A 12,064-nucleotide genomic window follows, 5' to 3' on the forward strand; every position below is an offset into this window, starting at 1 on the left:
GGCCCCAACCCACAGGTGTCATGTTCCTGCCAGTGTCTTCACTGAGCATTCAACAGGCTGTCCCCTTGTCCCATCAGGCTGGCAGCTTCTAGGTGATGAGGAGCAACCAAGCGAGCCCAATGACTCTGTTGATCGGCATCCCATACACCATATACAAAGATGAACTCAAAAATGGATCAAAGACCTAAATGTAAGAGCAGAAACTATAGAAGTCCTTGATGACCACATTATTGTACTTTTTTGGTAAAAACACTGTGGAAGACAAGCCTGAATCTGGAGCATGCACTGTTGCCAGTAAGAACGAATTACTGTCCCCTCCAGAGTAGAAAGAATAGGGTCAGTGTAACTGATCTGCAGCCAGAGGCTTGGCTGGTCTTCTGAGGAAGAGAGCCTTCTGAGGGAGGGCCCAGCACTGGTCTTGGCTGCAGGCAGGTTGAGTGATCAAAGTGGTAGAACTAGCTCATCCTTGGTGAGAGGGAGCCCATGCTGTTGGGCTCATACATAGCCTCCATCTCTGGTAGCATGACTACTCTGTTCAAGGGCTTTTGAGCAGGCATTCAGGGTAGACAGGGAGAGAGATTCACTCACCAGGCGAATCATTGTATCTCTGTGGAGCGTGTCCTGGCAAAAGATGCTCTGCTGGTTGTTTACCTGAGACCCAGAGGTTTGCACACTTGGTGCTCACTCTCAGTCCACCCATCTACCTCTTTCCTAGACCACTTTGTCACTTGCCTTTGGCTTTTGTTCCTTTGGGCTCCTGACTAGGGGACATTCACTATTCCACAGGAGCCAGGGAATTTGCACACTTGGTGCTCACTCTCAGTCCACCCATCTACCTCTTTCCTAGACCACTTTGTCACTTGCCTTTGGCTTTTGTTCCTTCGGGTTCCTGACTAGGGGACATTCACTATTCCACAGGAGCCAGGGAATATCCACAACTCAGGCTATTTGTTCGTTTAGAGAAAGCTAACGCCCAAGTGTACTGCTCAAAGCTTTGCACCCTGGAACCTCCCTTCCCCACTGTCCTTTAGGGCTACGCCAAGACGGCCATAATGTGGCAGCAATCCATTTCTAACTCTCACCAACATATCACACTGACCATCTGTGAACCAGGGCTGAGTCCCTTCCTCATCTAGCATTTGACCACAGGGAATTTGAGAAGGTTCTACAAAGTTTGTGACCCAATATGGCCCTTTCACTCCTATCTGCCTATGACTTCCTCTTTATTCCTGACTCATTGGGAAGTGGCCCCTCACCTCCAGCCTCTGATCTCCTTTCATATCTTTGCCAGACCAGGCCAGATGGGAGTGAGGCTGGGGTGCTGCCTGCGCAAGGCCTCAGCACCCTCACAGTAATAATAATGACAGCAACGACCACAGTAGCTGCTGCTGATGAAGTGCTCCTCATGTGGCAGGCATTGTGCTAATAAGCAGGACCAGGAAGAGGACGAAGAGGGTAAAAGCTTAGCCGACAAATTGTAAGGAGATCTCAAGGTCGTGCAAGTCGAAAGTCCTTAAAGTCCTGGTCCTGCTGAGAAGCTCCTAATAGATATTATCTTCTTTTATTCTCACAAGTAAATTTTATCACTCCCATTTTACAGATGAGGAAACTGATTCAGAGGTTAATTTGCCAAGGTCATACAGCCATATTTGACCCAAGCTCTTCACCACTAAGCTGTCTTAGCTCATTCACGTTAGCCTGGCCGCCCCGTGGGAAGTTCCCCTGCCCGTGATCCTCCGGAAGACCGCAGGTCCCTATGCCCACTCAGACAGCCGACTGTTGGGAGTCTGCAAGCTGGCGTGACTTTGGTGCAAGCAGCCGCAGGAAGAGGCTGCCGCCAGAGCGGGCAGGAAAGGGCGCGTTCCCACATATGTCCACTAGATGGCGCCCCAACACCGAGCCACTGAGCTCCAGCGGCCGAATGGACAGGCCCCCAGCAGGGAGGCGCTGTGCGAGACCCGCCCCTCTGTCCGTGGACACAGGTCTCCAACCCTCCGACGCTCTCCCTGATTTCTGCATCACCGATCCCCTTCGCTGCTACCCCCAGGAGATGGTCTCGGGGAGGAGAGACTTCCCAGGCTACTTGGGAGGGATTCTTCCTTCTTTCCCCTGGAACTGTCTCTTAGCGGTGCCCAGCGCTTCCCAGGGCCTCCGCAGCACTGCCTCTCCCTTCGTTCCCTTCCTGAATTCCCCAGGCCCTCCCTGTCACTCCCACTCTCTCAACTTCTGCCAGTCTTCTGAGGCAGGGACCATTAAGGCCCATTCCACAGATTTGGTGATGCAAATGCATGCAAATGTATGCAAATCGCCATGTAAAGGAGGCTTGCCACTGTGGTTCTAAGTGGCTGTCACAGCTTCTCTGACACCTGTTTTGGGAGACAGCTGCCCTGCCCCCTCCTCCTCGGTGTCTATCTGCTATTCGCCCCCCTTTCCTTCCTCCAAGGCTCTGGCCCCCTTTCCTTCAGCGACCCTGGTTGGCTTCTGGTTACAAAGGACCCTTGGGACTTCTCTCCAAACCCCCTAAAGGGGGCAAGGCGAGAAGCACATCTTATTGGGCACCGACTTTGACATCTGATAATTTCACCATTTTCTAGCTGTGTGACCTTGGGAAAGCAGGTTAACTTCTCTGAGTCTCAGTTTCATCGTTAGCAGAAGGGGAATGATAGTAGGCACCTAATAAGGCTGCGGTAAAGACTCTATGCTGCACTGCGTGTAAAGTGCTTGGCACACAGCCCGAGCATGGGAAGCATGTGGCTATCAATGTTATGATGATCACTGACCCTGTGGGTCATCGTATTCTGAGAACTCGGGCTTGGAGACAGAGATATGCAGGTGGACCCAGCTCAGCCATGTGCACATGTGTGCTCATCTCTGTACATGCGCGCGCACACACACACACACACACAGCTGACAGCCTCACGCGCTGGAGGGGCGCACGCGCGGGTACACACGCATTCAGAAACACACACAGGAGGAGGCTGTGGGAGGTGGAATCTGAGTCATCGAGACCAGAGCTGTGGGTGGTGCTTTTGTCCTGATTTCCGGGGCTCAGTGCTCCATTTCGAACAAGGAAATGTATGCGGATGGCACAGCTAACCAGCCAGCTGAAGGGCCAGTTGTGTGGACCCCTTTCTTGCATCAGCCCCTTCCCCAGGGTTGCTATTGTGCCAGTCCCAGCCTAGCTCTGTGTCATCTGAGCTTTTTCTTCCTCTGACCCTGCCCCTAGCTCCACTGAGGCCTAGTAGGTGGGACGGGGCAGGCCCACTGAGGTGATAGAGCAGGCTCTCAATGACGTCATAGAGAAGGTGATGCCTGCTGCAGCCGCTCGCTGCAGAATGCCCTGGGAGCTTGATGGACATAGTGAGGAAGAGGGTGTGAGGGATGTGGCATACAACGGTAGTTAAGAGCACTATCTTGAGAATAAGGTGAACCCCGGGTTGAAGTCCTGGCTCTGCCTCTGTGTGACTTTTTGCAGTTCTCTTAACCTCTTTAGGCCTCAATTTCTTTGTCAGTAGAATGAAACCAGTCATACCTAACTCAAAGAGTTTTGTGACTTTTCAATGAGATAATGCACATAAACATGTGCTCTGTTCAGTGCTGCATGGACTGAATGTTTGTAAGTGGCCATGATTTTGGATGATGCTGATTGAAGGGCAGCCCCACCCACAGCAGTTTCACGTCCTTCCTAGGAGTTGCCTCTCCTTCCACACCACTCAGGCCTGGAGGGAAGAAGAGAGGCAGTGCTTTTGGTGCCTGGGGTCTCCTGGGTCAGTATGGGCTAAGGTATCAATAGGTAGGTGTGTTGTCCAGCTTTTCTTCTCTGATTAGATGATTAATCAAGATAGGTCGGAATCACAACCTTGCCAAAAGGGAAAGAAAGATGCTGTGGTTTACTGTGCACCTGTTATATGGTAGGCACCATGGTGGGTGCTGTCCCACGTGAGCTCTCGTCAACCTCCCAACAGCTCTGTGAAATAGGTATTAGCATCTTCAAGGTACAACCCCAGAAGAAATGAAGTAACTTGCCCTAGGATGTATAGTCGGTAAATAGAGAAACTGGGATTCAGACCATCTCCCATTCCACACTCTCTACCTTGCCATATACATCCACAGTTTTGATTCCTGTGGGCTCCATGGATGTGGCAATGGGGAGGATCAGTTCCTTGGATGTGCAGCCCCTGCCTCCAGAGCTGCCCAAGTCTGCTTGGGCCTTAGAGGGGGAGGGGTCTGTATTTCTCCGCTCAGTCTCTTGAGAGCCTTGTGGGCAATGGTGGAGCTAGTTAATCACCAAAAGTGTCCCCAGGTGTTATGCTCTTGGCTCCTAGCCAGTGGTTATATGACATCAGGGAAAGGACACAGGTGCATGGAGGTTGGGGGCGGGCTAGGGGCAGCCTAGACACCTGCTGAAGGCTCGGTTCTGTGTCAGTGGGGGGCATGGGGATGGGGGGAGCAGCAGATGGATGGGGTCGGTCTGGGGCAGGGATGCTGAATCGGCTCTGAAGCCCAAGGTGACTCGAGAGCCTGCCAGGAAGAAGAAAGTGTGAAGGAGAAGGAGGGAAGGAGAGCTATAGTGTAGGAGAAACTGAGGCAGCTGAGGGAAAGGACAGTGGGGTCTCAGTGTGGTTGGCCAAGAGTGGTTAGTGGTGCAGGCTTTGGAGTCAGAAGGCACAGGCTCTTATTTCAATGCCACCGCTGATGAGCTATGTGGCCAAAGGCGAGAACTGTCCTCCAGTTTCCTCAGCTGCAAACAGGGTACAAATAGCACCTCTACAAATAGAAGTTCTATCCCTAGAACCTCTAGTCCTTCACCACCAGAACCTAAACTTCATTGCAGCCTGGCTGCCAACTAACCACCCATAGGACCTAAATCACGGACAGGGCCAGGAAGGACCTGCCTCAGACGGCTCCAGGGTCCGGCTCCCACCCAAGTCTAACCACACACTCAATTTTTTTCTCCAACTGATGGCCACCTTTTCCTCTGGGCCCAGGTCTAAAGGTCTACCTGTCTTGCTCATTGGCTAAGCATCCAGTGCATAGTAGGGGCTCCTACTATGAAAGGAGTAATATATGTCAAGTGGCTGATATATTGTTCAATAATTGCCCCTTAGCTGATTTCATTTCAGTGAATATTTCTAGAGCATTCACCCTGTGCCAAGCAAACAAGACTGAGTCCCTGTCCTCACAGATTGGTGGGTGAAGGGTTTAAGGGTGCAGTGAGTGTTACTGAGGTGACTACAGGCACATTCCCAAACCAGGGCCCAGGAGAAAAGGTGGCCAATGCTTGAAGGAAAAAACTGTGTGTGGTTAGGCCTGATTGAGATTTGGCCCCTGGAGCCTTCTGAAGCAGGCCCTTCCAGGCCCCAGCAGTGATTAAGGTCCTTGTGGCTGGTTACTCGGCAGCCAGGCCGGAAGAGAGAGCCGGTAATTAACAAGCTGGCACTCACACAACCACATGTCAGCACGCCCAAGCGCTGGGATAGCTGTCTGTCAGTCGTAACTGCTGGTGGAATTTTTTAGACAGCTGGGCTCAAGCCGGGAAATGAATATAAGTTGCATTTCTATGCATCGTTGTTCATAGTGGTAAAAAAAATTAATCAGTGACATAGCTGTGACACATACTCATTTAAGAGTCTACAGAGAAATGTTCATTTGTCAGAGGCAGCAAAGAAGAGATTATGTGTCAGCTGGGGAGGGGTGAAATATTTATACAATGGCTAAAAAACACCGGTGTGTAAGGGGGTCAATTGATTGTGTCAGTGGCCACATGACAAATACAGCATTGAGCAGCCATGGGCACTACCCTTGTGCCCGGGGGCTCCATTCTGATGACAAATACACAACGTGTTACTGTTAATGCTCCCCAGCAACCATGCGCTCAGCCCTCTTTGCTGGCTGGGCGGCTGAAGATTGCTAGGAAGCAGAGCTCCCATGGAAGCTGCCTACCCCCAACTTCATTAAGTCGAACTTGAAGTTGGTAAATTACTCCCCAAATGCCAAAACAGCTGCAAAAAACAATTTCTTTGTTGTGTGCAGTTTTTAAAATTTCGTATTCCTGAATTTCAAAGGGCTTTCTCCCTGCCTTCACCAAGACCATATCACCAGCACCTCCCATGCAGACCTCACCCTGCCCCAGGCTCTGCACCTCACTGTGTGGCTCCAGGGCAATGTAGAGCACCTGGGTTCAAGTTCTTGTCCAGCCAGTCTGTTAGCTAAGTTGGCCTCCTTCCTTGTTCTCACAGCTGAGGCCAAGGCCTAACTTGTTCCCCAGTTATAGGAAGGAGTCAATGTACCATCCCAGGCACAGTGATACTTCCGTGACCGGACACCCACCTGTCATTGCCTAAGGGGAAAGTAGTCTGGTTGGGACATCTGTCATCCCCAGGCAGAACACCTCTGCCTCTCAGCCCAGCCCATGAGCAGCCCACCTGGGGCTGTGTGATAGGTCAAACTTTCCAGAAGGAGGAGAACGTCGTATCAGTGCTGACAACTACTAGTTTTTGAGCCCTGATCACGTGCCGGGCACTGTGTCAAGTGCTCTCTGTGCATTATTTCACTGAATCTTAAGACAACTCTTGAGCTGGGTCTAATGATCAGTCCAGTTGTATAGGGAAGGAAACCAAAACCCAGAGAAACAGCTTGTCTAATGCCTATGCTATGTAGATAGAGGTGGCATTTGAACCTGGTTGGTAGGACCCCAGGGCACAGCCTTTCTGACCCTTGTTCACCTGTCTGACCATGTTGGAACTACGTCTCATGGTTAACACCTGCAAATCTTAATTTCAAAGCTTAAACCATTCAGATTCTAAGAGATCAATTAACAAACCTTGAAGATGGTAAAACTTGTGGAGGCATGGGCTGTATCCCAGACTCTGCTCAGAGCATTCACTCTAGCAAAACCCAGCTGATTTTCTCTCATCTTAACTGGGGCAGATAGAGCCGTTTCCCCTCCCCAAAGTGTCCCCACCATCCTGGTTTAGAAACATGGGCATTTTCACCCCTCCAGAGACTGACAGAGGCCCCTTCCACTCCCCTGCATACGATCCCTGCCTCCAGCCCGCTGTCGGTCGCTGTAATATCCCTATCATTCCTGCGACATCCAACATCCGTCATTTGATTTGGGATGGGATGACACTCTGAGAAAACAGTTGCAGATGAAATTTCACACATATCGGTGAACGTGGAGATTGCAGATAAGCACACGTTGCAACTTGTTTTTACTTTTTAAAATGAGATTCTTCCCTTATGAAGTTGTGCTCCACCTTAGATTTCCCACTGTGAGGCTGTTAGTAATGACAACATTAGTGATAGTGACAATAACATAGATTGTGCTCATTGAGTATTTATTATGTGCTAAGTACTTTGCACATTGTTTTGCTTAATCCTCACAACAACCCTATTTTACAGATGTGAAAACTGAGAATCAGAGAGCCTAAGTAATTTTCCCACAGATGTGTAGCTCGCAGGAGCTGGGCTTTGAACCTAAGGGTATCAGCAGCAGAACCCCTAGACTCTTACCCATGAAGGCCTGAGTTCAGTCCTACTGCACCGGAACAACTCCATCTAGCCCACACCCTGGCTTCGGCTGTATAAACTATGCTAGCTCCCAGATGGTCTTGCTCTCTTTCACCTCAGCACCTTTGCAGATGCTGTTCCCACTGTCTAGAAAGCCCTTCCTTTTATCTGTTCTGACATGGGTACCTCACTGGTGACTGTAGGGAGGAAACTTTGGCTGTTACACCTCATCCCATCCACAATCCCTGCCCCAGGACTCTGGAGGCCCCTGCGAGCTCAGCCAAGGGTGCTCTGGAAGGCTGCCCTCCCCACATCCTCACAGCCTGCCGGGCTGGCTCCAAGGGTCTAACACCAGAGGTGACTAGAAGGATCCTGCTCTGGAAAAGACAGCATCCCAGTACCCTCCCCTTCCCCCAGTCTCCACAGCATCCTTACACAGACATGACCAGGTCACTCCCTGCCACATCCTCCCACCCGCCAACACTATACAAGCCTCACCTCTCTCCTCCCTGTTGCTGTCCCAGCCAAACTGCCTCATTTACAGGGTTCCTGAGCAGTCCCCACTCTCTCTTGCCTCTGGCTTCTCCTGCTTGGAACATTCTTCCCTCTTCCTTCTCTTCCGCCTTCTTCCTATTCATCCTTCAAGATTCATCTTGGGTACCCTTCCAGGAAGCCTTCCCAGATTTCCCCAGCCTGGGCTATCTACTCCAGAGCAGGACATGGTGCCACTGTCCACCATGGTATGCCTAGTGCCAGCCACAGGGAAGGCCTCATGAATGTTTAACAAACCAATGGGTGAATAAATGAGTGACCTGGGAATGCAGACAGCCACAGAAAAGAGAGATCCCCATGATCCTAGACTCCAAGGAAGAGGTTCTGGAGGCTTGGTGTGAGTAGGGGCATCAGTTAAGCCACAGAACCTATGGGTAGGAGTTAAAGTCTCAGATTATTCAAGCAGACTAAGATTGTATCCAGAGTCTGAATAGCCTGTATGACTCAAAGCAAGTTACTTAACTTCTCTGAGCTTTGGCCATCTCATATGTGACGTGGGGGCTAATAATATGGCCAATATCATAAGGTTGTGTTGGGAGTTAAGTGAGATAATTCAAGTTGTGTACATATATGGATACTCAATTATTTGCTGTTGTTGTTAAGAGACTGGAATGGCATAAGAGCTGGAAGGGTTTACACTGTGTAGGCTACTCTGGGTTTCAGCTTCAAGATCCAGGGCAAGTGGACAATTAAGAACCCTGGACTTTCAGGAACTTGCATGGTCGGCCCAGTTCTGCCCCCCACAGGCTGTGTGACCTCAGAGAAGATTCCTTCCTCTCTGAGTCTTGGTTTTGTCCTCTTCGAAATAAGGACATTAATTCCTTCCGCCAGTAATTACCCAATAGGATTATTGTGGGAGATCATATGAGATAATATATATGAAAATGCTTTGAAATGTGCTCAGGGCTGCATAAATAAAAGGAATTATGGTTATCTACAGGCAGTTTGTAGGGGCTTAATTATTAGTCAGCATTCATGGGCACTGAAGCTGTGGAGCAGTCCTGCAAATGTTCCCTTGGCAGCTTTAGCAGAAAGGACCCTGTGGAGAAACTGAGGCTGGGTTGCCAGCATGTATCCAGGGGACCTTGGCAGTAGCGGGTGGGGTGGGGAGGTGGTGCTGAGATGGGACAGCCTTGGGGTTCCACCCTGGCCTGATCCCCAGTTTTAGGACCTCCAACCATCTTTGCAGAGGTGGGAGTCTGCAGGAAGAGGGGCAGGAACTCCTTGGCTTCAGGTGTGAAGTGCTTGGGCTGCTGCCAAGGGTGGCTCTTCTGGGTTTGCTCCTGGCAGCTCCTCCAGCTGGAGGAGCTGGAGACAGTCACCAGCAGGCAATGACTTGGCATTTGCTAGACCCAGCTGGCTGATGAGGGGAGAAGGGTGCCCAGCCTCCTTGTTTTTGGAGACCCAGAACTATGCTCTTTGGAGGGTGGAAAGGAGGTGGACCCAGGGCCTGCCCTCAGGAGTGCGGCTCAGGGGCAGTGGTGGGGCTACTCTTCACCAGGGAGGGACAACCAAGGATGAAAGGGCCCAGATGTGGCCTGTGAGTGGATGGCTAAGAAGGAAGGAGATGGAGAGAAGTGAGAGGGGGAGCAAAGAACTGGTCCTAGGACATCGAAAGTCATTCCTTTGAAGATGGGGGTAGAGGGTCAGTGGGAGGGACTAAAACAGGAGACATGGAGTTCCAGTGCCATCCATCCATTTATTTCCTCATTCAAAACCTTTCTTGAGCACCTAGTATACGTTGAACACTGAAGATAGAGCGGTAAACAAGAAGGAGCTTCCCTGCCCTTGTGAAATTGAGTTTAGGAGATAGATACAAACATGTGAATTTCACAGGGGAAGTACAGGAGGCTTTAGAAGGAAAAACAAGAGGCTCTACCTAGCCCTAGCAGCAGGGAAAGCCTTTCCTAAGAAGTGAGGTTTGAGATGAGGCCACTGGACGTCAGCTGGGGTGGTGTCAATTCTACAAATATTTATAGATCATTTACTATCGACCAACCAATCGACAGAGTCCCTGTCCTCAAAGAGGTAGCTATTAGAAGGGAAAAGAGTCCCAGGAAAAAGGAATTACACATACAAGGGCAGAGGCAAGAGAGGCCAAGTATGTCGCAGGAGCATAGAGAGCTCAGAGTGCAAGAGGCAAGAGATGAAAGATGGGCAGGAGATGAAAGACAAGGCAGGAGCAAAAGACAGCCCCAGGCCATGCTAGGGTGTTTGGAGCTTGTCCAGGGCCATGTGTGATGGTCGGATTTGCATGCTTGAAAGGCCACTCTCAAATATTCATTGGCACCATGGCAAATGAAAAGTCGCATGTGGCAGCCTCTGTCCCACATTCCCCACTATCAGGCTGATCCGAAGGCAGGAGAGGGTGTATCTAGGCTGCACGTCTGAAAGGCTGAGACTGAGTGTGTCTGTCACTGATTGAATGTGGGAGCGACAGAATATGTGTGCCTGCCTCATGCCTGTTCATGCCATTATTGGTGTTGTTGACCTTATTGCGGATCAATAACAATAGCCCCTCACATGGGCCTGGTGCCTGTGTCCATTTGAGTTTCATGAGAGATATCTCCAGGAAGCAGAACCAGGATTCCTACTCCCATTTTACAGATAATGATGCTGCTAATAATAGTTGACATATTGAGTGTTTAGTGTATGAAGGCTCTGTGTGCATACTACCTCATGGAACACACACTGCAATCACTCCCATTTTACAGATGAGTCATTTGAGGGCACTTACAAGCTTGCAAGGGCACTTACATGCTAGTAAGTGGCAAAACTGGGACTAGAAGCCATTTCTCCCTACCTTCTGCCCTTGTCCCAGGTAATCTTAGCCTCTCCTCCCTCCTTTCATCTTTCTCCTTCGAGTTGCAAAGCTGCCCCAATAAACAATAGCCTGGTATTGCTGAAACAGCCCCATCTCCTGAGCTCAAATTGTAAACTTTGCCTCTTCATACCCATACCCCTCCACCCTGGCTCAGCCCAGCCTTGAGGGCAGTGCCCCTGAAATCCTGGGCATCTGACACCTGAGTGCTGCAGGCCCCAGCCCACAGCAAGCACTGGCACTCCCCTAAATCTTTCCAGAGCCAAGACCCCTCCCGCCGCCATCTCAGAGCCTCACTTGGTCAGAGCGGCCAGGGGAGGCGGGATCGATGTGCAGAGAACTCAGTAATAATCCCAGCACAGGCAGCCAGGCTGCTGTATAAAGACAGATTAAAAACTCATCGGGTTGAGATGAGGAAATAATTCAGATGCTTGGCCATAGTGGGAACGTCTAGGGCTGCAGGTGCTAGTCGGAGTACATGTGAGGGGGTGGCCGGGACCCAGATGACAGCGGCTTTTGGCCTTGGGAATCTGCACTCCCCCACTTCGTTCCACCCCCAGAGCTACCTTCCTTTGCTGCCTGCCTTGAAGCCAAGGCTGACAAATCTCAGTCCCCCAGGGAGCAGCGAGGGGGAGGCAGGCTGGGGGAAACCGAGAGAGCACAGTTGCTGCCTAGCTCCACACCCTGGTTTATTTCCTCCGCAGCACTGAAATTATTTTGCTCATTTATTTGTTTACTTGTATGCTGTTTCCTCACCTAGACTATAAGCCCCGCGAGGCCAGGGACCTGTTCATCTGTGTACTGCAGTACCTCCAGCCCCCAGCCTACAAGAGGGACTTCTTAAGAACTGTTGAGTAAATGAATGCATGGATTGGAATCCTGGCTCTTGCTGTATGACCTCGCTGAGGTTCCGTTCTCTTAGCTGTAAAATGGGCACGGTAGTGGCTTCCAAAGGAGATCTCAGCCCAGCGCCAGGCTTCTAGGAAGCGCTCAATTGAGGATTTTGTTACATTGATGTCAAAAGAAAATGGAAACCGTGTCTGCCGCTTGAGATGCCATCAGGGGGCGCCCTTGTGCAAGGCGCTCGGCGTGCTGCGCCTTCCGCAGGCTCCCGGGTGAGCGCATCCAAGGCCGCCCCCACTCCCCGCCCCCACCTTTGGGGGGCTTATCTCCTCCCCT

At 50.8% G+C, this 12,064-nt stretch overlaps 5 annotated features.

Moving 5' to 3' along the window:
• Positions 1,920-2,453: an enhancer, noted in NCBI's record as "H3K4me1 hESC enhancer chr5:141071853-141072386 (GRCh37/hg19 assembly coordinates)". NCBI's record gives its function as "activates a minimal SCP1, AML or CMV promoter by ChIP-STARR-seq in naive H9 embryonic stem cells {active_cell/tissue: H9 hESC(naive)}" and the evidence as "EXISTENCE:reporter gene assay evidence [ECO:0000049][PMID:30033119]".
• Positions 1,932-1,981: a silencer, noted in NCBI's record as "silent region_16461". NCBI's record gives its function as "represses an Ori minimal core promoter by ATAC-STARR-seq in GM12878 lymphoblastoid cells {active_cell/tissue: GM12878}" and the evidence as "EXISTENCE:reporter gene assay evidence [ECO:0000049][PMID:35858748]".
• Positions 2,454-2,987: an enhancer, noted in NCBI's record as "H3K4me1 hESC enhancer chr5:141072387-141072920 (GRCh37/hg19 assembly coordinates)". NCBI's record gives its function as "activates a minimal SCP1, AML or CMV promoter by ChIP-STARR-seq in naive H9 embryonic stem cells {active_cell/tissue: H9 hESC(naive)}" and the evidence as "EXISTENCE:reporter gene assay evidence [ECO:0000049][PMID:30033119]".
• Positions 10,785-11,285: an enhancer, noted in NCBI's record as "H3K4me1 hESC enhancer chr5:141080718-141081218 (GRCh37/hg19 assembly coordinates)". NCBI's record gives its function as "activates a minimal SCP1, AML or CMV promoter by ChIP-STARR-seq in primed H9 embryonic stem cells {active_cell/tissue: H9 hESC(primed)}" and the evidence as "EXISTENCE:reporter gene assay evidence [ECO:0000049][PMID:30033119]".
• Positions 11,874-12,023: an enhancer, noted in NCBI's record as "active region_23312". NCBI's record gives its function as "activates an Ori minimal core promoter by ATAC-STARR-seq in GM12878 lymphoblastoid cells {active_cell/tissue: GM12878}" and the evidence as "EXISTENCE:reporter gene assay evidence [ECO:0000049][PMID:35858748]".

The sequence above is a fragment of the Homo sapiens genome, chromosome 5 (genome assembly GCF_000001405.40).
Source record: "Homo sapiens chromosome 5, GRCh38.p14 Primary Assembly".
NCBI classification, from domain to species: domain Eukaryota; kingdom Metazoa; phylum Chordata; class Mammalia; order Primates; family Hominidae; genus Homo; species Homo sapiens.